At 35.9% G+C, this 27,398-nt stretch overlaps 2 long non-coding RNA genes across 4 annotated transcripts in view; one reads left to right on the forward strand and one right to left on the reverse strand.

Annotated features, from left to right (window-relative positions):
* Positions 1–614: 614 nt before the first annotated feature.
* On the reverse strand, positions 615–19,351 carry LOC105376082 (uncharacterized). 3 transcript variants are annotated; one of them, XR_929931.2, is made up of 5 exons: positions 19,318–19,351; positions 7,893–8,025; positions 6,476–6,588; positions 3,367–3,591; positions 615–2,645 (listed from the first exon to the last, which is right to left on the reverse strand). It is a non-coding gene; the product is annotated as an uncharacterized LOC105376082 (long non-coding RNA). The 3 variants fall into 3 exon arrangements; XR_929930.2 differs by lacking the exon at positions 19,318–19,351 and adding an exon at positions 18,630–18,761 and having other exon boundaries at positions 615–2,081; XR_929929.2 differs by lacking the exon at positions 19,318–19,351 and adding an exon at positions 18,630–18,761.
* A 155-nt stretch (positions 19,352–19,506) lies between these two features.
* Positions 19,507–27,398, forward strand: part of LOC101927281 (uncharacterized) — a 107,092-nt gene continuing 99,200 nt past the window's right edge. The window contains exon 1 of the long non-coding RNA XR_001746723.2: positions 19,507–19,573. This is a non-coding gene — a long non-coding RNA (uncharacterized LOC101927281). The remainder of the gene's footprint in view (positions 19,574–27,398) is intronic.

The following is a 27,398-nucleotide window of genomic DNA, read 5'->3' on the forward strand; positions in this document are numbered from 1 at the left end:
TCATAACTCTTCTTTTTAGCATTAGCTGAAAATATTTATATAGTACCTTTTGGTAGAGAGCCATGAAGTATCATGTTACTCAATAGGGAAGATAGCTCAGTAGAGATAAGAAGGTTGATTAGATTTTGTTTATTCTCTATCCTGAGTGTGAAAATGTAATGCTTGGAGAGGTAAAATTATTGTCAGAAGAGCAAAGTGCTGATCTCTCTTCTCTCAGAAGATGGGTGGGAGGATCCTTGTGCGCTCTTACATTGCATCATTACCTTTTCCAGGATTCTTCTATAGTATGAGTCATCATGGATATGAGTCCTTGGTGGATCCGTTTATGGGTTGTGTTGATGTTGTGGATTATTGGCAGCTTACATAGGCATGGCTTGTACTAAATACTCAATGTTTATTTGCTGAACTGAATTAAATGTATCATTTACATGTTCACACATAATTACCCATAACACATTAAGCAATACACCAAGTGTCTATTGAATGAAGAACATTCATGGTGTAACCCAGAAGGCACAGCTATAATAGAAGATCAATTTTTATTTTGTTTTGTTCAAACAGGAAGAGTTTTGTTGCATCCAAAGATAATATGACCCCTTTCATATGCCAAAGGAGAAACCAACCAACCAACCAAAAAAAAAAAAAAACCAAAAACCACAAGTCACTACAATGAATACAGGTCATCATTACATAGGCATTCCTAACATTAACAAAAGAAGACTCAACATCAAAAGACTGTCCTTCCAGGAACTTGTCAAGCATGAACTAAGACTGAATAAGGGTCTTGCAGCAGGAGCCATATATCCAGGCATAGAGAGATGGTGTAAGGCCAGAAGAGAAGGACCCAAAACAGTTGCCAGGGAAGATTCAGATAAAGGTTTCTAGTTACACTACTTAAAAATTACCATCAATTTTTAGTAAAAAGAGGTTAAATGAGTTACAAAAAATCCTTACTTCCTATAGTATTGTCTTTAGCTATGTATCACAAAGTATATACAGTTAAAAAACAAGAAACCAAATGAGGACCCAGCTCACAAGAGTCATTACAGGTCATGGCAATTTAAATTAAGCTGGTCTTAAATAGTTTTGAATGTTGCGAAAAGAGTTTTTCTCTGGTTTTGCTCTGAGGCTTTGCATTTTTAAAAGAGCATTGAACAAAGTTACAACTAAGCGATATGTTAGTACAAAGAGAAAAATTGCAAAGGCTACAAATACACACACACAAATTTTCAATATGCTATGATGAATATAACATAATATAATGCCTACCATTAATTTTGCAATAAGGTCAAGGCAATGATGTTATCAGCAATGAACGAAAGCAGAGTGATTCTTGACACAGTCAGAATTAAGCATTAATAATGTTTCCTATTTGTGTCGTAATGGGGTGTGATTTGCCTCCGACAGCACCTTTTATTATCAGTACAGCCAGGCATCTATGTTTTCCATCTGAGGTGGTCATTGTTCTAATTATTCCCACATGCTTACCATCCTCAATACATGCGAAATAATACCAGTAATGCATTTTTAAAAAGAAGCAATATGCTTAAATATATTATAGATACTCTGTCATCCTGGATTGCTTTTTACTCTTTAGACTGTAGAAAGCTGCGTGGCTATTTTACGTTGATAGGCATTTGTATTGATTGGAGGAGTAAAAAGAAAGTACTCATTACAGAGCTGCTAACAGTGTAATTATAGAGTGGCACCCACGCTGGGGTGTGTTAGGAATCACGTTCCTGTTTTAACATCATGTAGAGTGTAACACCGGTAGCTTAGTGGAATATGCCCTTTGTACTTATAATTGCTTGCAATTAGTCCAGGGTAGTAGGTATCTTTTTATCTCCTACCTATCAGAATTCTGATGTTGGGATATTGGTCATCGGATTTACTTGCAATACTTAAAACTGTCGAAATTCATACAATAAAATTTATTTCTTTTTAGACTTTAGCTTAATGGTTAGAGGCCTCAATTTCAATCTAGGTTCTGTCACTTACCAGCTCTGTGAGCTTGGGGAAATTTCTTCATCTTTCCAACCCTCGGTTTTCTTATCTGAAATGTGGGGTTACTAATGCCACCCCTGGAAGATTTATGAAAAGAATAAATTATGGAGGCAGAGTACTATGCGTGCGAAAAAACAGCAGCTGGAACAATGTTGTCATGGTTATGGCACATGAATCAGTTGATCCAGAATCTAAATTATTTTTAGGATAACGTTACGTTTTCAGTAGTGACCTAGCATCCTACCAATATGTTTCCTGTAATATTAACAGAAATTGGCACGTTCAGTTAGTATCTAATTGTCTTAAAGATGTTTAAAAATTCCATAGACTGGGCTCACACTCTTAAAGTTTCTTGAAGCCTTTAAGAACGGTTCTTTCAACCGTTCGGCTGAACTTCCTTTTCCCTGTGGTTGGGTTTCCTATTCATTTGTCAAATTGCTTGAGTTTCATGCTGCTAAAAGCAAATTTACATGCAGATCCAGCACAACTTGAGGTTCTTGGCCAGTCTACAACTGACCAGTTCACAGCCTTCCTCTATGGAAATGCAGAAGGTAAAAAAGGGAGCAATTTTCCTCTGAGTGAAATCCTCCAGGCCTCACATGCCTGTATTTTATCTCCGACTTCTTACAGAAATTCTGGTTCTGGAATTAAAGCAGAGGCTTTTTAACCATCAATAACACTAATATTTTCTCCCTTAAAGTGTCTGTTTGACAGAGTTTTATGGTCCTAACAAAGGTATCAGATTTCTCGGCTGGAGTGCACAGAGTTTAGTGGACAATGACAAACTCTAGAGAAGCAGTTAGGTCTAGCTCCTAATTCTAGTTCTGTTACTCCTTCGCTGTGGGAGCGGCAGCCAGTTACTTAGATTCCCAGAGCTTCAGTTTTTTCCATTCATGCAGTGATTGTAATCACAGCTCCTTCTTGGGTGTTTTGGGTGAAAAGTAAAAGAGAAAATACATAAAAAGAAACCTGTAGAATCTCTTCCATTTTTCCTGTGATATTTCTTTTTGTATTCCAATGATAAGGAAATCCCCTAAACTTATTTTCCCCTGCTGTAGAGTACAGACGGCACCTGCGAAGCTATAAGATGTGTGTCCAATTAAAAACATTTCAGCTCTTTTGCTTACAATATCAGAGTTAATAAACTTATAGCTAGAGAATGGACCATATACTCTACTCTAATACAATGCTTATCTCTGTATATGGAAAGATTGAAACATATTAGTGACAAAAGCTGAAATTTTAAAACGTTTTCCTTTACTCACTTATACCATGCATTATTTAACTGATGTAGGGCAAAGTCATTTAAATTTTGTCCTTTAGACAGAATTCATCTGTCCCTTCATGTGCAAAATAGTTTACCTTAATTTCCCATAGGTAGAAGGTTTGAAGTTTCTCCTGTGAATTCTGGCTTCCCAAATTATACTTGCACAACCAGTAAACAGGACAGAGCCATGCGGTAAGAGGGCAGCACTCGCTTCACAGAGCCTACTAATGTCTCAGAGAGAGGAGACCTCAGTCAGGATATTGCTGAGGTTTTGAAGTCTGGCTTCAGACAGGTCTGTCAATGCAGGGACTTCATTAGGGCTGGAGAAAAATAATGAAATAAAGGTTTTGGAGTATTGGCTAAAGCAAGGTGTTTTGAGGCAAGATCTTCAAAGAGCCTTGGGGTGTAAACTGGCATGTGATGATTTCTACTGAAAAGCTGATGAATTAGAAAGTTCTCAGAATAAAAAGTAAAGTCATTTGTAACTTTTATCTTCCTGAGCAAGAGTCCCTTGAAATAATCACGTTCTCTTTAAAAAGACAGTGGAATAGTAAATGTTAATGTAGATACTCATCAGACTGGTAAAATTAACACCTTTTTTGGGGGGATGATAAAAAAGGGGTCCTCTTAAATATTGGAAATGTGAAGTGTTACAGTTTTTAAGTAATCTAATATCCTCTTTTAGACATAAAAGGTTATATATTTATACATTGTTTATGGTAGCAAAACTTGAAAGCAAAATGAGTGCCCATCAATAGGAAGATACATTATGGTATACTCAAACCATAGAATTTTACAGCTATTACAAATAAGCTTTATTGAGAGAATTTGCATGAAGTACTGTTGCGATAGAGATGTGTAATATGACTTCATTTTTTATAAAATAAAAAATGTGTTTCTATGTGTGTGGATGTATGTGTATGTGTGGAATGTATATTGTGAACAGCAAAATGCATTGCACAATTTTGATTTTATTATTCAGGCTATTGCAATAGGGAGAATGTTCATTAATGAAGGACATCTTGAAAAAATAACAAAAAAAGAACAGAAAAAAAGGGAGTACTAGTTTTATAAAAAGAAAAACAATAAAGTCATAAAAGGTGAAAGAGAGATTTCTAAGTCCTGAGGAAGGACTTAGAAAAAAAAAGTGGGTCTTAGAAAAAAAAAAGTGGGTCTTAGAAAAAAAGGACTTAGAAAAAAAAGTGGGTCTTTTTTCATAATATGGGAGGGGGCAGGTAAGATGGCTCTTTGAGGTTACAAAAGGGTTCTGGGGTGTTTCACACACCATTGCTTTGTGAGATCACAGAACTCTGAGTTCTGCATTGTACATATGTCTATATGAATTTGTATGTATAACGTGTATTCATGTGTAATTGTATATATACGTGTATATACACTAAGATAATAGGTGAGTACTATGGGGGTTCAAGAGCAGAGATCAAGCAAAAAAGGAAAAATCTCTGCCTTATAAAACAACAAGTAACATGATCATATTACTCATTTACATATAATTTAGACATAGATCAATCAATTTATTCATGTATATAAGAACATTTGGATAATAGTAATAGAAATAACATTAAGTTTAATAGCACATATTTTTCTGAGCATAAAATGAACGCATAGAACAACTAGATAGTATTCAAAGCATCTGCAGGTTTAGCTGTCTTTCTACGGCAACTTTACACAGACAGACATTCTTATTTTTCCGTCAAGAAAAATTGTGTCCATTTCCATTGTGTTCTCAGATTCACAATTAGAACAGTGTCATATTTAAAATAATTTTTTAGTTTGATATTACAAAAATTCTATAAGCATAGAATTGCTTTAATTGAGTAAAATACATGGGTAATACTTTGCCAAGTATTCACATGTTCAGTAGCCTTTGTAATCCTTAACACGTGACTTTATTACTTCCAAGAAAAATTGTCTGGGGGCTCAATAAGTTCAAGAAAGGAATGCTCCTGTGATATTAGAGAGGTTTGGTAACAAAGATCTAATTAGGAACAATCACTTCTCCACATCCCTATCATTAACATATACCATTGCATTTTTTAAACTAAAACTGAATGAGCTTAAAAATATAATAATCCATGCCTTAAGATTACAAATCTTACCAGAACAATAAGTGAGCAATTTCCAAGTAAATGAAGTACTGCCTCCCCTGTGGTTTAATTGTGTTTTGTGTCCTCTTATTGTCCTTCTGATGACATTTTCCCACCTTACTCAAGAGCTCTACCTATAGTTAGGGCAGCTTTGGGAACAGACTCTATTCATTTCCCAGTTAAAAAGATGAACAAGAAGAAAAAGCACTAGAACAAGGCTCTTGTCCTCTGAATGTGTACTCCAAATGATGTTGGAACAAGAGGCAGATGTAAAAAGAGGATAGCTTACAATGTGAAATCCTTCTTGACATAAGTGAGATTTCTGAAGCAAAATTAATTTTCAATAAAAATTAAAATAAAATATTTTCTAATAATGAATATGCACTGAAGAATCTAAGATAGTCACACAAAAAATAAAGACATCTAGAGCATTCCATTCACCAAGACAATCACTTTCTCTTTTCTTTTAAGTGGAATTCCTTTTTCCAAATCTTAACCTTCATTCCTTCAACACACAAGTCCTTAATACTTGCGGCATCTTATTTTGTCCTCATTTCTCATAATATCAGAATAAGACAGTTTTTCTATAATAGTGCACTTATTTGAGATTCTGTTTTTACTTGAGTGCTTGCAAAAATGGAATAAAGAGAATGAACCAATAAAATGATAACTTGAAGAGTAGTTCTAATCCTCAAAATGGGATTAACCCAAGGGAAAAAGAGTTGTAATTATTCGGCTTCCTACAAAACAAAGCTAGTTCCCACATGCCTTCTCCTTTTGGCTCTTTCTTCTTTATTTACAGTACAGTAGGACTTTTGAGTGAAGGAATGGCAAACAGTTAATAAAACCTTTGATGGGTATTAATTACTTTCCACTTAATTACCTGCCTTGTGGATCTTGTTGAGCTATTGATTACTGGCAAACATACATCCCACTGGGGATAAGTGTGATTTAACTTCATCCAAAGAGTCAATTAGCCCAAGTAACATAGGGAGAGCTGGTGCTTTGCCTCAATAGCTGGAGATTCTTGCCAAGAAGGGTAGATATGCATTTATTTGTTCATTAAAACACAGTGTTACTATCAACAGGAGTCACTTACCAGGTGTTATTGAGATTGGTAAAATGTTACTCTGTGTCATCAAAGATTAGCTGCATGGTGTGGAAGCAACATGGGCAAAGGGATGTTTTTCTTGCTTGAGAACCCTGAAAGAACTGGTGAGGTTTTGAGATTAACCTTAGAGGTATAGTCCAAGTGCTGTTCTCTATTTTATGAAATTATAACCAAACAACTCTATCAAATACACCTACACACAACTATAGTTTACAAAGACAACGTTGCCTTCTGCTGCATGAAATTCAGGATCCCAGATTTTTTTCTTTGATATGCTATACCAAAAGAGCAAGATGTTTTCTGCAACTTCACTTAATAATTTACTGATTTCTGTGTTCATTTCTGCCAGCAAGTCAATGGGAAAAAAATACTTGAAATTCAGGTCTTTGGTGGATTGGGGGAGAGGAGGAAAAATTGTGTGAGAGAAAGAAAAATTGTTCCATTGACCAAACTTTGGCATGAAATTATACTTTTAAACCCATAAGAAAATTCACAAAGCTGATATTCTTAAAACTTTATCTATTTAGCTTCAAATTAGAATTTTTAAAACATCTTATTAGGTAGCTCTTTTGTAGTATTCCTATGAGAAGAATTAATCCTGTAAAATATGTCAAACTCTAGGAGTTAGCAAGGGATAGAAGAATATGCTGAATTGCAGGTGAGTTAGAACTTTGATCAATAAATTATGTGAAGCAGAAATTTTATTGTGAAAAGTTGTAATAATACAAAAACCCACAATATTTTATTTAAAAATTAGGGCATGCAGAGTGTAAATAATTTGCTTTGTTGTGGAATTCAGTGTGTGCTGAATCAATAGGGTGATTACTCCAAAGTTGACTATTGAATACATGTAAATAACAGTTACTAACATTTGTATTATTAAGAAGTTTACATTATCATTGTATAACCATCATCATATTTTATCGTACAGACTTTTCATAATATTCAGGTGAGATACAGTAATCGTTATCTACTCATTTTGAGAAAGTTGGAACTGAGGAGCAGAAAAGTTTAAATAACTTGGCTACGGACACCTAAGTTCTCCAATCAGAACTTGGTCTCAAGTCACCTGGACTTCAAATCTTCCCTCCACTCCTTCTTGGTTAGTCTTTTAGCATGATCTTGCACTGTGAACTCTGAAGACAGAAAACAGTTAACTCAGAGTGAATGTGAATATCTACCTCTGGGGTCAGTTTAACTGCTAGTGTGGTATTTTTTCGTTTTGCTCTTGTTCCCTGCACTGTAATTTTTGTGTCCTGCTTCTCTCTCATCCCCTTTCTCTCTTACGCATTTCCTTTTCCTTTGGCTTTTTGTGATAATGTTATATACTTGCTAGAGTGAACAGATTTATTTCCATCATTGCAGTGTGATAATTAAAATATTTTAAACAAGAAATTAACCTCACCATTGCCTGCACTTTTTAAAAGTATTTTTTTCTGATTAAAGCAGGAAATTCAGGCACAAAAGGAGAGGATACTCATGCTTGTCATCTTCACATTTCAGGTATTTGGGTGTTATTGCTCCAAGGGGTGTTCCTGCTGAAAGACACAGAATGTATATGTCACCTCTATCCATCAGGTCAAAAGATCTTGCCAACAACAATATTCACATTAATGCCCAGTTGGTCTCCCTGTTTACAAGAGGCGTTCTTGTGAAAGGCCCTACTTTTTAGATTAAATATTTCCTGTGCCAAAACATTCTGCATCAGTGAGTTAAAACAGACTATAGTCCAAAAGGATATATCCTGGCTGTGAGCACAGATTTGGTATAATTTGAGTTTTTTCTTGTTTTATTTTTAAAACAAAATATATCGGGCTTATGATTATTAGAGAAACTCAGATTTAAGGCTCAGGAAAATGTAAATGACAGCTAAAGATAATTCCAAAATCTTCTCTGTTTTCTCCAATACCTTGACTAATAGATTGTCTCATAAAACTTTATTTTTCTTTTCTTTTAGTCTCCAAAGGTCTATTTTTCTGCAGAAAGCTAATGAATCCTGACAGAGTTTCTGAAAAGCTAAACATATATTTTTTGTGCAAATTAGAAAATTTGGCACAAAGCCATACATTTCCAGTTTCACAGGGTAGAGCTGTGCATTAAAACCAGCAGGCTCGGTGTGGTGGCAGGCTCACACCTGTAATCCCAGCACTTTGGGAGGCCGAGGTGGGCAGATCCCTTGAGCCCAGGAGTTTGAGACCAGCCTGGGCAACATGGTGAAACCCCATCTCTAGAGAAGACACAAAAAATTTGCCGGGTGTGGTGGCATGTGCCTGTAGATCCAGCTACTCTAGAGGCTGAGGTGGGAGGATTACTCGAGCCCAGGAGGAGGAGGTTGCAATGAGATGGCACCACTGCACTAGGCCTGGGCAACAAAGCAAACAAACATCTCAACAAGCAAACTAACAAAAAACTCAAACCACCAGCTCCCTTTTTACAAAACGATGTGTGTGTGTGTGTGTGTGTGTCTGTGTGTGTGTAAACTCCTTGTTTAGTAGTTGTGATGAAGTAGAGAGGGAATTGCAAACATCTGACAAATAGGTTTCATTGAGGTACATCTTTGTATATATTATCTCATCTAAATCTCAAAACAACCTATTTAGTTTGGAATTTTTGTTTCTATTATACTGACAAAGAAGATAAGGCACAGAGAGGTAAAACAATTTGTCTAAAGAAACATACTCAGTAAATGATTTAATCCCATCTTAGTTGACTGAAAAACCAAAAACTCTCCATCCTAACTTCCTGCTTTCCTGGGAAACACTTTATAAGCCCAGGAGGCAGTTATTCTTTTTACTCCTCACAAGAACGATGTAGAACAAATGAATTTTGACTCTTAAACTATAGCATATATGTAGCATTTAAAAATTCATTTCTTGAGCTTCAAAGCAATCACAAGGCTAAAAATTTATAGTGGCAGCTGACATTTCCTTGTAACGGACATGATAATAAATATTTTTAGGGCCATATAAGTTTGTATTACATACTCTTGCTTGCTTTTGTTTATTTGTTTTTATTTCACAACCCTTTATTAAAATAAAAAAATTCTTAGCTGAGTGACCATACAAAAACAGCCCTTAGACAATATTTGGCCCACAGTCATAGTTTGATGACCCTTGCTCTGTATCTTGATTTTGATGGTGTTTATATGACTACAGAAGTTTGTCAAATTCCAAAATTTTACACTTAAAATTGTAAATTTCAAGGAACATAAATTACCTTTTAATGAAATAAATGGGGGACCATCATAAACAGTATGTTCTTTCACCACAAACATAGAAATTTTAAGTAGCCTTACATCTATTGATTAAATAGAATTTGTAATTAAATAAATTCCCATAAAAATATTCATATCCAAAGTAGCTCATCAGAAATTTTATCAAACATTTAATAAACTAAAATTGCCAATATCACACAAACTCTTTCATGGAATAGTGGAATGAAGATACTTTCCAAGTCATTTCATGAGGCCAATATAACTCTGACACCAAATCTAGGAAAGGATATTATATGCAAAGAAAATTAAAGACTAATATTCATTGTGAGCATAGACACAAAAGCCCATAACCAAACATTGTCAAATTGGATTTGGCAATATCTAGAGATGTTAAATAATCCTGACCATGTGGCAGTGGCAATCCCAGGAATGGCAAGTTGGTTTATTATATGGAAATCACAGTGGAACTCACACATTAACACATTAAAGAAGAAAAATTATATTTAATTAAGTAGATTCTGGAAAAGCACTTAAAAATTCAGCACCTGTTCATAATAAAAACGCTCCACAAACTGGGGACAAAAGAGAACTTTTTTCTTCTAGGCAAATAAAGTCTGTGAGAAATCAACATTAAATATATTTTACTCATGAAGAAGGAATGAGCATTATATCCCAAAATAAGGAAAAGATAAAGATGTGCATTTCTACCACTTCTAGTCAACATTGTACTGGAGCTCTTAATGTAGTAAGTAAAAAAAAAAAAAAAAAGGCATACATTTAGAAAAGAATAAATAATAAAATCTCTATTTGAAGATAATATAACATATGCCTAGAAAGTTATAAGGAGGGAGCTCATGTCTTTGTGGGACTCCATGTATATGTGCATAATTAAAATTGTTTTCTATTGTTTTTTGTAAAAAAAAAGTCATAAAGAATAAAAAAGTGAACTTTGCAATGTCACAGGATGCAAAGAAAATATACAAAGATAAATTGTATTTCTAACCAACAACAATAAGCAATTGGAAAGAAAATAAAAGAGATGCTATATTTATGGATTATAAGGCTCAGTATTGTTAAAGTTATTAAAATGTAAATTCGCCACAAATCTATCTTTATATTCAACACAATCCTAACCAAAATTATATTTGGCTTTAAAAAAAGGCAATTTGCTGTGTTCAAATATATATCAAAATGAAAATGTCTTAGAACAGTTGGAGGACTTACCCTACCTGACTGCCATACATACTATACAGCTATGGAAATCAAGAGTATGACACTAGCAATATGATAGATGAATAGATCAATTGAAAACAATTGTGGATCCTGATATAGACTCACACATACAAAGTCAAATTATTTTTTGTCATGGGCTCTAAAACAATTCAACAGAAAAAGGGAAACAACTTTAGCAAATGGTGATGAATCAAGTAGATAGGAATAAAGAAAATATAGAACCTCAACCTCAATTTGACTCATACACTAAAAAAAACATCTCATATACATGAGGTATATGATATCTAAACCTAAAGGAAAGTTTAAAATATTCGAGAAAAAAATCTTCATGGGCTTAGAGTGGTAATAATATATTAGCCTTGAACAGAAAGCCCAAATAATAAAAAAAAAGCACTTTATCAAAAGCAAAATACTTTGTTCTTCAAAAAATCACCAGTAAGACTGTTTTAAAAAGCAAGTCATAGATTATGAGAAAATATTTGATATACTTATACCTGACAGAGGATGTGTAACCAGCATATAAAAAGAACTCTTAAAACTCAATAATATAAACACAGGCATCCCAACATAAAAAATAAAAATTGAGATTCTATATCTTGAGAAAATATCCTTCAGAAATGAAGGAGAAATCAACACATTCCTAGATGAAGGAAACATAAGAAAATATGTTGCCAGGAGATTTACCCTACAGGAATGGCTAAATAAAATTTCTAAAAGTATAGGAAATAACAAAAGAATAAAGCTTGTGACATCAGGAAGAAAGACCAATACAGTAAACAAAAAATATGGGTAAATACAATAGGCTCTTCTCTTGAGTGTTCTAAATTATGCTTGATGGTTGAAGCAAAAATTAAAACACCAATGTTGTTCTAAATATTTGTAGAAGAAATATCTAAGACAATTATAAATGGGGGAGAATAAAGAGATGTAAAGGGAAGTAATCTTTCTATACTTCACTAGGACTGGTAAAATGAGAACACGAGTAGACTGTGGTAAGTTACAGATATGTAACAACATAATAACTAGTGCAACCACTAAGACAGCTATACAAAGAGACACAGTCAAAACACTATAGATAAAGAAAAGGGAAATTGTAAAAAATGTTTTATATGATGATTTATATGTTTTATATGTGTTGTGGGTTTCCACAGAAAGGGAGGAAAAAGAAGACATAAATGAAAAGCAGAGAGAACAAACAGAAAACAAAAATAAAATAGCTGATTTAACTCTAAGGTATCAGTAATTATATTAAATTTAAATGGTATAAACATAGCAATCAAAAGACAGAGATTAACAGAGGGTATTTACAAATACAACCTAACTAAATGTTGCCCATAAGAAATTAACTTGAAATACAACAATATAAGCTGTTGAAAGTAAAAGGATTGAAAATATATCTTACAAAAATTTTAATAAAAGGAAAGAGAGAGTGACTATATTGATATTATATGAAGTAGACTTCGGAGAAAATAAAATTATTAAAGATAGAGAAGGAGATTAATAACAAGAAAAGTTTAAATCCATCAAAAAGACAGAAATTCTAAATGTATGTACACCAAAGACAGATCAGCAAAATAGGTGAAGCAAAAATTGATCAAACTGAAAGGATAAATAGACACATACATAGATATAGTTACAGACATGAACACTACTCTCTCAGCAATTCATGGAATAAGTAAAGAGAATTTCAACAAAGATATAGAAGGGCTCCACCAATAAAATCTAATTGACATTTATGGAACACTGTATTTTCTTTTCTTTTCTTTTTTTTTTTTTTGAGATGGACTGTCACTCTGTTGCCCTGACTAGAGTGCAGTGGTATGATCTCAGCTCATCGCAACCTCCACTTCCCGGGTTCAAGCGATTCTCCTACCTTAGTCTCCCGAGTAGCTGGGATTACAGGCACCTGCCACCACCCCTGGCTAATTTTTGTATTTTTAGTAGAGACAAGGTTTCACCATTTTGGCCAGGCTGGTCTTGAACTCCTGACCTCAGGTGATCCAACCGCCTTGGCCTCCCGAAGTGCTGGGATTACAAGCATGAGCCACCGCACCCAGCCAACTACACATTATTTTCAAATCATAACTATACCAACATAAACCATACTCTGGGTCATAAAACCAACCCCAACAACTTTAGAACAATTGAATTTATACAGAATATATTCTCTGATACAATGGAATTAAAATACAAATCAAAAACAGGAAAATTACAGAAAAGTTTCCAAACACTTGGGAACACATTTATAAATAATGCATGGGGTCAAACAAAAGTCAAGAGAATTTTAAAAATTCATTGAATTGAATGAAAATGAAAATACAATATAACAAAATTTGTGAGATACAGCTAAAACTGTGCTAAAAGGCGAAATTATAGCCCTAAATGCATACATGGGAAAAGAGGAAAAGTTTGAAACCAATAACCTAAGCTCCTACCTCAAGAACCTGGAAGGGAAAAAAAAATTATCCCAAAGTAAGCAGAATGAAGACAACAATAAACAACAGAAATCAATAAAATGGAAAACAGAATAGAAAAAATCAATGAAACACAGAATTAGTTCTTTGAAAAGATCAGTAAAATTGTCAAAATTTGTCATTAATAATTTTCAAAAAGAAACCTCCAAACCCACAGGGTTACATTGGAGAATTCTGTCAAATTTTTTTAAAACAACATCAATTATACACAATATCTTTCAGAAAAAAAGAAGAGTGAACACTTACTTATCTATTTTATGAAGCTATTGATGTGGTTTGGCTCTGTGTTCACACACAAATCTCACTTTTTTTTTTTTTTTGAGCTGGAGTCTCACAATGTCGCCAGGCTGGTGTGCAGTGGTGCAATCTCGTCTCACTGCAACCTCCACCTCCCCAGTTCAAGCGATTCTCCTGCCTCAACCTCCCAAGTAGCTGGGACTACAGGTGCCCACCACCACGACTGGCTAATTTTTGTATTTTTAGTAAAGATGGGGTTTCACCATGTGGGCCAGGATGGTCTCGATTTCTTGACCTCGTGATCCGCCCACCCTGGCCTCCCAAAATGCTGGGACAACAGGCATGAGCCACCACGCCTGGCCCCAAATCTCACTTTGTATTGCAATAATGCCCATGTGTCATGGTGTGGACCCAGTGGGAGGTAATTAAGTTATGGATGTGGGTTTTTCCCATGCTGTTCTTGTGATACAGTATAAGTTTCATGAAATCTGATGGTTTTATAAAGGAGAATCCCCGTGCACATGTCTCAGGTCAGCTGCCATGTAAGACATCTTTTTGCTCTTCCTTCATCTTTTGCCATGATTGTGAGGCCTCCTGAGCCATGTGGAATTGTGAGTTTATTATACCTCTTTCCTTTATAAAGCACCCAGTCTCAGGTATGCCTTTATTAATAGCATGAGGATGGACTAATACAGTAAATTGGTACTGGGTAGTGGGGAGTTGCTATAAAGATACCTGAAAATGTGGAACTGGGTAACAGGCAGAAGTTGGAACAGTTTAGAGGGCTCAGAAGAAGATAGAAAACTGTGAGTAGATTTGGAACTTCCTAGAGACGTGGAGTGCTCAGAAGACAGGAAGATGAAGGAAAGTTTGGAACTTTCTGGAGACTTGTTGAATGGCTTTGACCAAAATGTTGAGTGACGTGAACAGTAAATTCCAAGCTGAGGTGGTCTCAGATGGAGATGAGGAACTTGTTGAGAACTGGAGCAAAGGTAACTCTTGTTATGCTTTAGCAAAGAGACTGGTATCACTTTGCCCCTGCCCTAGAGATTTGTGGAACTTTGAACTTGAGAGAGATAATTTAGAGCATCTGGTGGAAGAAATTTCTAAGCAATGAAACACTCAAGATGTGACTTGTGTACTGTTAAAAGCATTCAGTTTTATGTATTCCCAAAGATATGGTTTGGAATTGGAACTTATGTTTAAAAGGAAAGCAGAGCATAAACATTCAGAAAATTTGCAGGCTGAAGACGAGAAAGAAAGGAAAACCCCATTTTCTGAGGAGAAATTCAAGCCAGCTGCAGAAATTTGCATAAGTATTGAGGAGCTAAATGCCAATTGCCAAGACAATGGGGAAAATGTCTCCAGGGCATATCAGAGGTGTTCATGGCAGCCCCTCCTATCACAGGTCTGGAAGCCTAGGAGGAAACAATGGTTTTTTGGGTTGGGCACAGAGCCTTGCTGCTTTGTGCAGTCTTGAGACTTGTTGACCTGCACCCCATCTGTGGCTAAAAGGGGCCAACATAGAGCTCAGGCCATTGCTTCAGAAGTTGCAAGCTCCATGCTTTGGTGACTTACACATGGTGTTGGGCCTGCAAATCAGAGAAGTCAACAATTGAAGTTTGAGAACCTCTGCCTGGATTTCAAAGGATGTATTGAAATGCCTGCATGTCCAGGCAGAGGGGTGCTGCAAGGGCAGAGCCCTCATGGAGAACCTCTGTTTGGGAAGTACAGAAGGGAACTGTTGGGTGCCAGCCTCTACACAGAGTCCCCACTGGGGCACTGCCTAGTGGAGCTGTGAGAAGAGGACCACCATCCTCCAGATCCCAGAATGGTAAAGCCACAGACAGCTTGCACTGTGTGCCTAGAAAAGCCACAGACACTCAATGCCAGCCTGTGAAAGCATTCAGGAAGGGGGCTGCACCCTGCAAAGCCACAGAGGCATAGCTGCCCAAGACCATGGGAACCCACCTCTTGCATCAGTGTGACCTGGATGTGAGACATGGAGTCAAAGAAGATCATTTTGGAGCTTTAAGGTTTGACTGCCCTCCTGGATTATGGACTTGCACGGGGCCTGTAGCCCCTTTGTTTTGGCCAATTTCTCCCATTTGGAATGGGTGTATTTACCCAATGCCTTAACCTCCATTCTATCTAGGAAGTAATTAACTTGCTTTTGATTTTACAGTCTCATAGGTGGAAGGGACTTGCCTTGTCTCAGATGAGACTTGGACTTTTGGGTTAATGCTGGAACGAGTTGAGACTTTGGGGGACTGTTGGAAGGCATGATTGGTTTTGAAATGTGAGGACATGAGATTTGGGAGCGGCTGGGAGCAGAATGATATGGTTTGCCTCTGTGTCCACACCCAAATCTCACCTTGAATTATAATAATCCTCATGTGTCATGGGAGGGACCTGGAGGGAGGTAATTGAATTGTGGGGGCAGGTTTTCCTGTTCTTGTGATAGTGAAAAAGTCTCACAAGATCTGATGGTTTTATAAAGGGGAGTACCCCTGCAAATGTCTCTTGCCTCCCACCATGTAAGACAAAGCTCTTTACTCTTCCTTCATTTTCTGCCATGATTGTGAGGCCTCCCCCGCCACATGGAACTGCTAGTTCATTAAACCTCTTTCCTTTATAAATTATCCAATCTCGGGTATGTCTTTGTTAGTAGCATGAGAATGGACTAATACAGCCATTATTAGTCTGATTCTAAAACTAAGCAAATACAGTATGAAATAAAATTACAGGCAGATATCCTTCCTGAATATAAACATAAAATTCCTAACAAAATATTAGTAAATAGATTTCAACAACATATAAAAAGATTATATAATATGACCAAGTGGGGTTGTTAAAGGAATATAAAGCTGATTCAATAAGAGGCTCAAGAACAATCTTATTATCACATCAATCAATGTACTAATAGCACTTGACAAAATTCAATACCCATGTTATAAAAATGCACAGAAAAATTGGAATAGAGTTAAAATTCCTCAACTTGATAAAGAACATATACAGAAAACCCACAGCTAATATTATACTTGATAGTGAAAAATCAAATGCATTTCTCCTATGACCAGAGCAAGACAAGCATGTCTGCTCTCACCACTCTTATTTAACATCAAGGTGAAAGTTTTAAACAGGCAAGAGAAGTAAATACAGAAAAGAAGTAAGTACAACTGTCTCTATTTGCAGATGACATATTTGTCTACATAGAAAATTCCAAGGAAGTCTATAAAAGATCTTTCAGATCTAATACATGAATTCATCGAGTTTGCAGGACACGAGATAAACATACATTAATCAATTATATGTATATATACTGGCCATAACCACGTAGGCACCAACATTAATACTACAATTCCATTTATAATTACTGAAAAAAATACTTAGGAGTAAATCTAACCAAACATCTATAGTGCTAGTCTGCTGAAAATAACACAGTGATGATGGAAGAAATCAAAGAGATAAGTAAATGAATAGATAAATCATGTTCACGGATTGGAAGACTTAATGTAATAAAGCTGTCAATATTTCCTAATTTGATGTACAGGTTTAAAATACTTATCAAAATTTCAGGGAGATAATTTTGTAAATATAGACAGAACTATCTTAAAATTTATATGAAACTAGAATAGCTAAAAACAATTTTGAAAAAGAAGAATAAATTGAAAAAATATATCAAAATTATGTATCTACAGTAATCAAAATTTTGTGGTATTGCTGGAGGGATACACACATAGTTCAATAGAACACAGTAAAGAATCCAAAATAGACCCACACATATATATACAACATCTGTATGATTTTTGACTAAGTTGCAAAAGCAGTTCAGTACAGGAAATATAGCCTTTTCAACAGCTAGTACTGGAGCAATTGAATATCTACAGGCAAAAATAAAATTATAAACCTGGACCTAACTATTATATCTTATGCAAAAATTAGCTAAATAGGCCACTACTAAAATGTAAAATTTAAACCATAGAACTCTTAAGGGGAAAAAACAACAGAGGAAAATTTTTACAATTTGGGGCCAAATAATTTATAGATTTGACACTAAAAGTAGGATTCACTTAAAAACTTGCTAAGTTTAACTATATCAAATTTGAATGATTTTGATCTGTAAAAGACCCAGTTAATATAATAGAAAGACAAGCTATAGAATGGGAGAAAATATTTGCAAAGGACTAGTGTCTAGAATACACAAAGAACACTCAAAACTCACAATTAAAAAGCAAAGAATCCAATTAGAATGTGGGTAACAGATATAAAGGGACATTTCAAATAGGAGTGCATACAGATGGCAAACAAATATGTGAAAAGATGGTCAACATCACTAGTTATTAAGGAAATGTCAATTAAAACCATAATGAGATATCACTAAATACCTATCAACATGGCTAAAATTATGAACAGTGACAACAAATGCTGGAGAGAAGGCAAAGGAACTGGATCACTTCTATATTGGTGGTAGAAATGTAAATGGTATTCTCACTCAAAAAAACTGTTTGGCAGTTTTTAAAAAAAAAATCTAAACATGAAAGTACCATGTAACCCAGCAATACCACTCCTGGGCATTTATCCCAGAAAAATGAACACATACTCACACCAAAAACTTTGTGTGAGTATTTATAACAGCGTTATTTGTGGTAGCTCATATAGTAGGAACAACTCAAATGTCCATAATAGATGAATGATTAAATTAACTATAGTGCCTTCATACCATGAAATACTACTCAGCAATATAAAGGAATGTACTATTGATACATTCCGTCCATACAACCATATGGACGAATCTCCAGAAAATTATGCTAATTGAAGAAGTCAAAAACAAAAGGTTGCATGTTGTGTGATCCTATTTGTACAACATTCTTGAAATAACAGAAGTACAGTAATGAAGAGGCGATTAGTGGCCTACAGGGTTTAAGGAGGACGTTGGGGAGAAAAAGAAGTGGATGTGGCCATAATGGGAAATGTCACAAACCTTTGTAGTGATGGAAATTCTTGGTATCTTGACTGTATCCACATCAATATCTTGATTGTGATATTGTGCCACAGTTTTGCAAGACGTGCCATAGTTTTCCACTGGGGGAAACTGGGTAGCGGATACATGGGATTTCTGTATTCTTTTTTTTTTTTTTTTTTTTTTTTTGAGACGGAGTCTCGCTCTGTCGCCCAAGCTGGAGTGCAGTGGCGCAAACTCTGCTCACTGCAAGCTCCGCCTGCCGGGTTCACGCCATTCTCCTGCCTCAGTCTTCCGAGTAGCTGGGACTACAGGCGCCCCGCCGCCACACCCGGCTAATTTTTTTTTTTGTATTTTTTGGTAGAGACGGGGTTTCACCGTGTTAGCTAGGATGGTCTGGATCTCCTGACCTCATGATACGCCCGCCTCGGCCTCCCAAAGTGCTGGGATTACAGGCGTGAGCCACTGCACCCGGCCGGATTTCTGTATTCTTTCTTCCAATTACATCTACAATTATCTCAAGACAAAAATTTAATTAAAAGAATGGAAAATACTTGAATCCATACTTCAGAAAATAGAGGTACATATGGTCAGTAAGCTCATAAAAATGGTTGACATTATTAATGATCAGAGAAATGCAAATTTAAACCACAGTTAGATACCACTCTACATCTAACAGGCTGGTTACAATTTAAAAGATTGGCAATACCAGACTGATACGGTTTGGATTTGCGTCCTTGCCCAAATCTCGTGTTGAATTGGAGGAGGGGCTTAGTGGGAGGTGATTGAATCATGGGGGAGGATTCCCCCCTGGTATTCTCGTGATAGTGAGTAAGTTCTCACGAGATCTGATGGTTTAAAGGTTAAAGGTTAAAGGTGTGGCACTTCCCGCTTCTCTCTCTCTCTCTCTTTCCTGCTCCGCCGCGGTGAGACGTACTTGCTTCTCCTCACCTTCTACCGTGATTGTAAGTTTCCTGAGGCGTCCCAGTCATGCTTCCTGTTAAGCCTGCAGAACTGTGAGCCAATTAAACTTATTTTCTTCATAAATTATCCAGTTTCAGGTAGCTCTTTATAGCAGTGTGAAAATGGACTAATACAGAAACATTGTGGAGTATGTGGTGTAACCAAACCTGTGGCTCTTTCATAACGGGTTAACCATGAACAATTACATAGGTAGTTAACTATTCATGATTTTGTCCACAAAAACCTCATACAATAATATTTATTGCTACATATATTTAGCATTATACATGTAATATTTATATGTATAAGCTATATATAAAGAGTAGGTGTTTGTGAAGTTTTAGATATAATCAAAGTTAAGCAATTGTGATAGAAATCATGTAAGTAGTTTCTGTGGTGGAGAATAGAATTGACTGGGTAAGAGACAGAGACTTGTTCAAATACCCTGTGCTTTGATCACATGGATTTCACAGCTATGTGCATATTTCCAAACTTATTAAACTCAAGTTATGCATTTTACTGTAAATAATGTATACCTGAATTTTAAAAAATCTTTAACAATGAAAGTGGAAAAAACATTAATAAAAGTTAGGTCTTATTACATTTTAGCTTTTAAAAATTACATATGTGTTTTTATCAAGGGCCTAGTGAGTAGTTGATTTTTGGGTCCTCACCACATTATAAACAGTAATCAACTTAGTAACTCAGAATAAATGAGCCATGCCTAATGATGATAGTCGGTGATGAACAAGAATTATGATGAATCAAATCTGATGTTCTTGAGATAGTCCCTCTTAAAAATATAATAAAACGGGCTGGGTATGGTGGCTCACGCCTGTAATCTCAGCACTTTCGGAGGCCAAGGCGGGCAGATCACCGGAGATCAGGAGTTCAAGATCAGCCTGGCCAACATGAAGAAACCCCGTCTCTACTAAAAACACAAAAACTAGCTGAGCGTGGTGGCACACACCTATAATCCCAGCTACATGGGAGACTGAGGTAGGAGAATTGCTTGAACCCAGGAGGCGGAGGTTGCAGTGAGCTGAAATAGAGCCACTGCACTCTAGCCTGGGCAACAGAGTGAGACACTGTCTCAAAAAACAAACAAACAAACAAACCAATAAAATGAGGCCTTTTGCTGTTCTGATTTGACTCAAAGAAACAACTTAGTTTAGGCAGAAGAGAGTGGATAGGTAGCATTTACATTTACTTCCCTAAACTCAGTTTTTTATAAATATTAGCTATTATATGATTGAATTTTATATTTGTTGGTGAGAGCCTCAAGCTCAGACAGCATAATGTGGTGATGAGTAAGTGCAGTGATTTGGTAGTCAGCTGTCTGAGTTTGCAATCATAGTTCTGCCACTTATCAGCTGTATGTATGATCTTGGGCAGTTTTGTACTTAAACCTTCTGTTGTCTTTGTTCATCTCTGGGGTTGATAATACCCAGATAATACTCATCTGAAAAGATTGCTTTGAATCTAAACAAGCTGAACACAGAAATGTGTCTGGCAAATAGCAATGGCTCAGTAAATACTAATTGCTGTAATTGCTAATACTAATAATATTCAATACTATTGATTAAAATTAACACTACTGTTTTGGAAACAAAATAAGCAAATGGCATGACTTATTATATTATAAAGAAATATCAGAACAAATGATGCCAGTTTTCCACCAGAATCATTAATAAAAACTGTATAATAGTCTTATAGGTTGTGTAATTTAAAAGACAGTGACCTCTTGATATGTTTATGTTATTGACAAAATTCAAAATATTATTGACAAAAACAGAACAAAGTGCCCTGATGCATGGAATTAGTTAATATTAGCCACTTATATATTAGAGAATTATTTAGCCCTACTAAAATAATAGGTACCTATGCCATCACAATTAATGTTAATGGCCTCTTCTTCATAGGAACTATTGACTTTATAATTCTTCTAAGGTCTATCTTGATCCAGATGACCCTTATAGAGAAGGGTAATTATTTTCCTCTTTACTGTTGCAAGTAGGCAAGGATCCAATTTCTTTAAAAAGAATATAAAAATATCTAGATAAAAATAAAAAGAAGGTCCAAAACTCATTTTATTCTTATGCATTTAAATTGCTGTCTTGCTTGATTCTGGCAATGATACCGTGGATGTAGATTTTGCAAGCATATTAATAATTGGAGACTTATCTTAAACTCACAGAGCTTAAAAAACATATCCATAGAATCAAAGGCAGATGTAAAGTTAATCAAAGCTCTGAAGAGTCCTGAAAAGAGCAGTTTTTTCAATGAGATTAAAAAGAGTTCAATAATAATCAATACTTCAAGAGTGAGGTCTAAAATCTCCTTGCACTTCATATAAAGAATTACAATGAGAGCCCAAACCTTAAATTGTTCAATTAGAAAGATATTAAAGCTCAGAAGGCATATTAAATTAACAATTGGGCCTTTATTTTAAAAATATTGGTGGGTTACCATTTTTAAGTTGTAGAAAACAGCATGTTGAATGCATTTAGATGGAATTGTAACTGGGAGATATGTAGAGTAAATGACTTGATGCAGAACGGTGTCTTCTCGTAAGAACAAATTTCAAGTACATTTACTTTATTAAGCTTGCAATGGCTAATAATTTTAGTCTTTCCCGTAGCTAGAACCTATAACCATTTTGGAGTTATACTCGCATTATGCAACTGTGTTAGGATCTTGAAGCCGGGAGAGGCTAACTTTCAGTATGTAGAGAGAACAACATGGTTCTTCAGAATTTCTAAATAGAACTCAGCCAATCAAGAGACAAATATCTCAAAATCTACCTTATTAACATCATTATTCATCCTAAAAGCCTTTCAGGAAACTTTAATTAGTGTCCTTTAAACCCCTTCAGTAAATGTTTACGATTCTTTACAAGGTTTGTGGGAAATGGAATTTGTTTGTTTAATTTGTAACCATCTAAACAATCCAGTTTTATTTGGGTTACATTAGTAAGGTATGAAAAATAGTCAACTTGTGTCAGTCAGGTCTTCAGAATGACTTTATCCTTTGAAGGGAAATGTAAATATTTAAATTATAAAACAAAACAAAGTTATATTCATATATATCAGTGGTTCTCAGCCAGAGGTGATCTGTTCCCCAAATCCCTTCTAGGAAATACTGGGCAACGTTTGGAAGCCTTTTTCGTTGTCACATCTAAGGTATATGCTACTGGCATTTAGTGGGTAGACACCAGGGATGCTGCTAAACATCCTACCATGTAACAGACAGCCTCCCACAAGGAAGAATATCTAGTCCAAATGTCAATAGTGCTGAGGTTGAGAAACTTGAACACATGAATCAACATACACTCCAAACCAAAGTAAACTGATTCTAATGGTCTGCCTTTAATCATTTCCATTAATGTGAATAGTCAAGTATTTACCACATTACATATAGTATGCAATACCTACTAGATTATTGACTAATCTATTACCTAAATAGATTATTGTCTAAGGATTTTCTTAAATGTAAGCTACAAGCTAAAATGCATCCAATTTTTCTCTCTCTCATCCACTCATTTAACTGAAACACCGTGCAAAATAAATGTTTTCCCAAATTAAAAAGTAGCGTGTTGTGGAGGTGAATTATTAAGCTTATTTGTTTATGTTTTTTTAAACTTATTTTACTTTCATGATTTGAAATTTTAAAAGTGATGCTAACATACTAAAGATTTTATCTGGAGTGCTGTGTCCTGGGAATAACTTCTTCAGGCATTCAGCAAAGTGACCCTCTGAGGTTATATAGGCAGAACATCATGGAGATGTCTGGCTGCTGTGACAGACTCTAAATATCAATCAAAATCAATAAACAGGCATTAAGAATTTATTGCAGGCCAATCCTGTGCTTTAGCAGATGCCTTCTCCAAATATTGTGGGATATATTGGGAAAAAAAGCTCTCTTCTGTTCTCTAAATTGATATTTTTAAAAGCTGTTATTATTTTTTTAATTTTGTATATAAAATACATACACAATTATGCATTTAGTACTGTTTAGCTATCAGTCACAAGGCTAAACAACACATGTACTGTAGAGGTAGATACCAAAAAAGTAAAATACTCAGAGTTTACTTACTAGTTATAACAAAACAATTAAAGTATATAGAACAATTTTTTTGATTGAGTACCAAATTTCATCATAAAATAGGGTTATAGTCGTTAAGAAAATGGAATAAACAACATATGTGGAATGATAAATAATACATCAAAAGTAGACCTGACCTTGAACTTGGATGCCAAACCATGAATTAAGTTTGTACAATATAAATGTTAAAAGATAAGACAGGAAGAAAATAAAGATGTTATCAAGGGTTTAAATAAAAAACAGTAGAGATGAGAAACAATGTGTCTTCCTAATGTTTACTTTGTTTTTTAAGTAAAATATAAACTTTATATACCTTTTTAGTTCTCCTCTACATTATATAGATGGATAGTTAGTAGATAGGTAGATAATTATTTCAGTAATTGCATTTATTTATCAACATGAAAATGTTTATCCTATCGATAATTTTGAAGGGCTATTATTGTACTGTGTCTAGCAAGTAATCACTCTCAGTTTATGTATCACTTTTGGAATGAAGATGTTTAACTGCATAACTAAAGTGCTATATTAATATCCTAAGTCATTAAAAACACTATTTAAGCTAAATGAATTAGTTGTGTGGTGAATAAAATTAAAATAATAAGCCTATGACATAATGTACAATATAAATTTTATGTCCATTTGATTAGGTATATGTTACTATTATCATCATAATAATTCTTACATAATTTGATTATCTTGCTAAATTATTATCAATTTATGTCTACCACTTACTAAGAAATTAGTGAATGTTACACACTGTGGTGAACACTTTATATATAATTGACAAAAATAAATATTGCTATCTAAAACCATGGCTGCCTTATAAAGCTAGTGGTTCATTGTAAAATAAAGGCTCTTTTATTCTTTTGAGAATCTATGATAAGGAACAATTTGTAAAGATAGACTCTGCTGAGTTTGGAGTAATTGCCATATTTTTTCTGCAAAAAGGCAAAGAAGAATTTGGAGTTCCTGTGGGTGATGAGGAAAGTAGTGGGAAGAAGCTCTGAGTGATTTGGCAGGAAGCAAGAGGATGTGTTTTGAAAATGGCCCAGAAAAGTTTTGATTACAAAATACCTACTATTCACTTTAAAGAATTTTTGCATTTTTGTCTATCTATCTATCTGTCTGTCTGTCTGTCTGTCTGTCTGTCTGTCTGTCTGTCTATCCATCCTATCTATCTATCTATCTATCTATCTATCTATCTATCTATCTATCTATCTATCATCTGCTGTGGTTTGAGTGTGTCTCCTCTGAAATTCAGGTTGAAATTTGAATCCCAGTATGGCAGTGTTGGAGATAGAACCTAGTGGGAGGTGTTTGGGTCATGGGGGAAAATCCCTTATGAATTAATTAATGCTCTTTCGTGGGAGTGAGTAAGCTCTCACTCATGCAGGAATGGATTGGTTTCCAGTAGAGTGGGTTGTTACAAGCAAGTCCAACCTCTTGTATGTGTCTCTTTGCATGTGCCCACTTGCCCTTCTGCTTTCCACCATGAATTGAAGGACAAGACCCTCACCAGATGCGCTGCCCGATCTTTGGCTTTCCAGCTCCCAGAATCAGAAATCGAATACATTTTTTTTTAAATAAATTACTCAGACTTAGGTGTTCCGTTATCACAACACTAAACAAACTAAGATGGAAAACTGGTACTGAGGTATGAGGTGTTGCTATACAGATAGCTGGAAATGTGAAAGTGGCTTTGGAACTGGGTAATGGGTAGTGGCTTGAAGAACTTGGAGGAACAGGTCAGAAAAGGCCTGTACTGCTGTGCACAGAGCATCAAAGGTTTTATAAGGGGCTCTTCCCCCCTTTCCTGGGCATTTCCCCTTCCTGCCACCTTGTGAAGAGCATTATGGTGAGGGCGCAGGAGATGAGAAGACTAGGGAAAGTTTGGAACTTTTTAGAGATTGATTACATAGTCATGACCAAATGCACATAGAAATTTGGTGACTAAAGGCCATGCTGATGAGGACTCAGATAAAAAATGAGGAGTAGCTTATTGGGAAGTTGTTGTGCAAAAGTACACTTGTTATACATGTACAAAAAACTTGGTTGCATTGTGTCCGTGCTCTAGGGCTTTATGGAAGGCAGGACTTAAGAGTGATGAACTAGGATTTTTGGCAGAATAAATTTCTCAGCAAAATATAGAAGGAGTTGCATAGTTACTTTTGGCCACTTGTGCTGAGATTTGAGAGCAAAAGAATAATTTAAAGACAGAATTTATAATTAAAGGGAAGCAGAGTGGAAAATTTTGGAAAAATTGCAGCCTGACTACGTAAACAGCAAAAAGCTGTATTTGGGAGAGAGTGCTAAGGGTGTCGCTGCCCAAGGACCCCTTGATAAAGAGAACAAAAGAGAGCATGAACAAAAGAGAGTCAGTGCTGTGTGCATCAGGACGTAGTGAAAAAGGCCCACAGGCCTCAGAGGGTAGAATGGTTTCCAGAGACAGGCTTGCGGTAATCTCCACCAGCTCACTGTTTAGAGTTGCCTTGGGAACGTGACTCCTGCATTTTGGTACTCTGGTCACTTCAGCCATAGCTCAAGGAGCCGCAGGTGTGGCTTGAGTTGCTCCTTCAGAGGATGCAGGTGGTAGGCCTGTGGAGTGTCCACATCCACATGGTGCTGATTCATCAGGCCTATATAATGCAAGAGTCATGGAGGCATGGCAACCTTTATCAAAGGATGTACAAAACTGCCTGGGAGCCCAGGCAGAAACCTGCCTCAGAGGCGGAGCTGCCACAGAGAATAGTCACTGGAGTGCCTAATGGAGCTGTGGGAGTGGGGTTCCCACCCTCTGGACCCCAGAATGGTTACAGCACGAGAAACATGCAATGCCTACCTGAGAAAGCTACAGGCACTGGACTCTAACCAGCGAACAGCCACGCGAGCTGCACTCAGCAAAGCCATAGAGGTGAAGCTACCTGAGGCCTTGGTGGGCCAACTTCCAACCCAGTGTATCCAGGAGGTGGCATATGGAACATTTTGGAGCTTTAAGATTTAATGTCTGACCTGCTAGGTTCTGAACTTGCTTTGTGCTGGGCACTCCTTTTTTTTTTTTTGCCCATTTTCCCTTTTGGAATGGGAATGTTTGCCCAATGTCTATCCATTGTAACTTGGAAGTAGATAACTTGATTTCTGGTTTTGCATTCTTACAGCTTGAAGGAACTTACCTTAAGTCTCAAATGAGACTTTTGACTTTTAAGTTGGTGGTAGAGAAAGTTAGGACTTTTGGGACAATTGAGATTGGATAATTGTATTTTGTATGTGAGAACAGCATGGATTTCAGGGGGCCAGAGGCAGAATGCTATGGTTTGAATGTGTTCCTTCCAAAACTCATATTGAAATTTGATTCCCAAAGACATGGTTTGGCTGTGTTCCCACCCAAAATCTCTGTCTCAGGTTCAAGAGATTCTCCTGCCTTGGCATTCCGAGTAGCTGGGACAACAGGTGCCCGCCATTGTGCCTGGCTAATTTTTGTATTTAATTTTTGTATTTTTAGTAGACACAAGGTTTTACCATGTTGGCCAGGCTGGTCTAGACCTCCTAACTTCAAGCGATCCACCTGCCTTGGCCTCCCAAAGTGCTGGGATTGCCGTGCCTGGCCTAAAATCTCATTTTGAATTGTAATCCCCATAATCCCCACATGTTAAGGGAGAAGCCAGGTGGAGGGAATTGAACCATGGGAGCAGTTTTCCCATGCTGTTCTTATGATAGTGAGTGAGT

Source organism: Homo sapiens, chromosome 9 (assembly GCF_000001405.40).
Source record: "Homo sapiens chromosome 9, GRCh38.p14 Primary Assembly".
Lineage (NCBI taxonomy): Eukaryota > Metazoa > Chordata > Mammalia > Primates > Hominidae > Homo > Homo sapiens.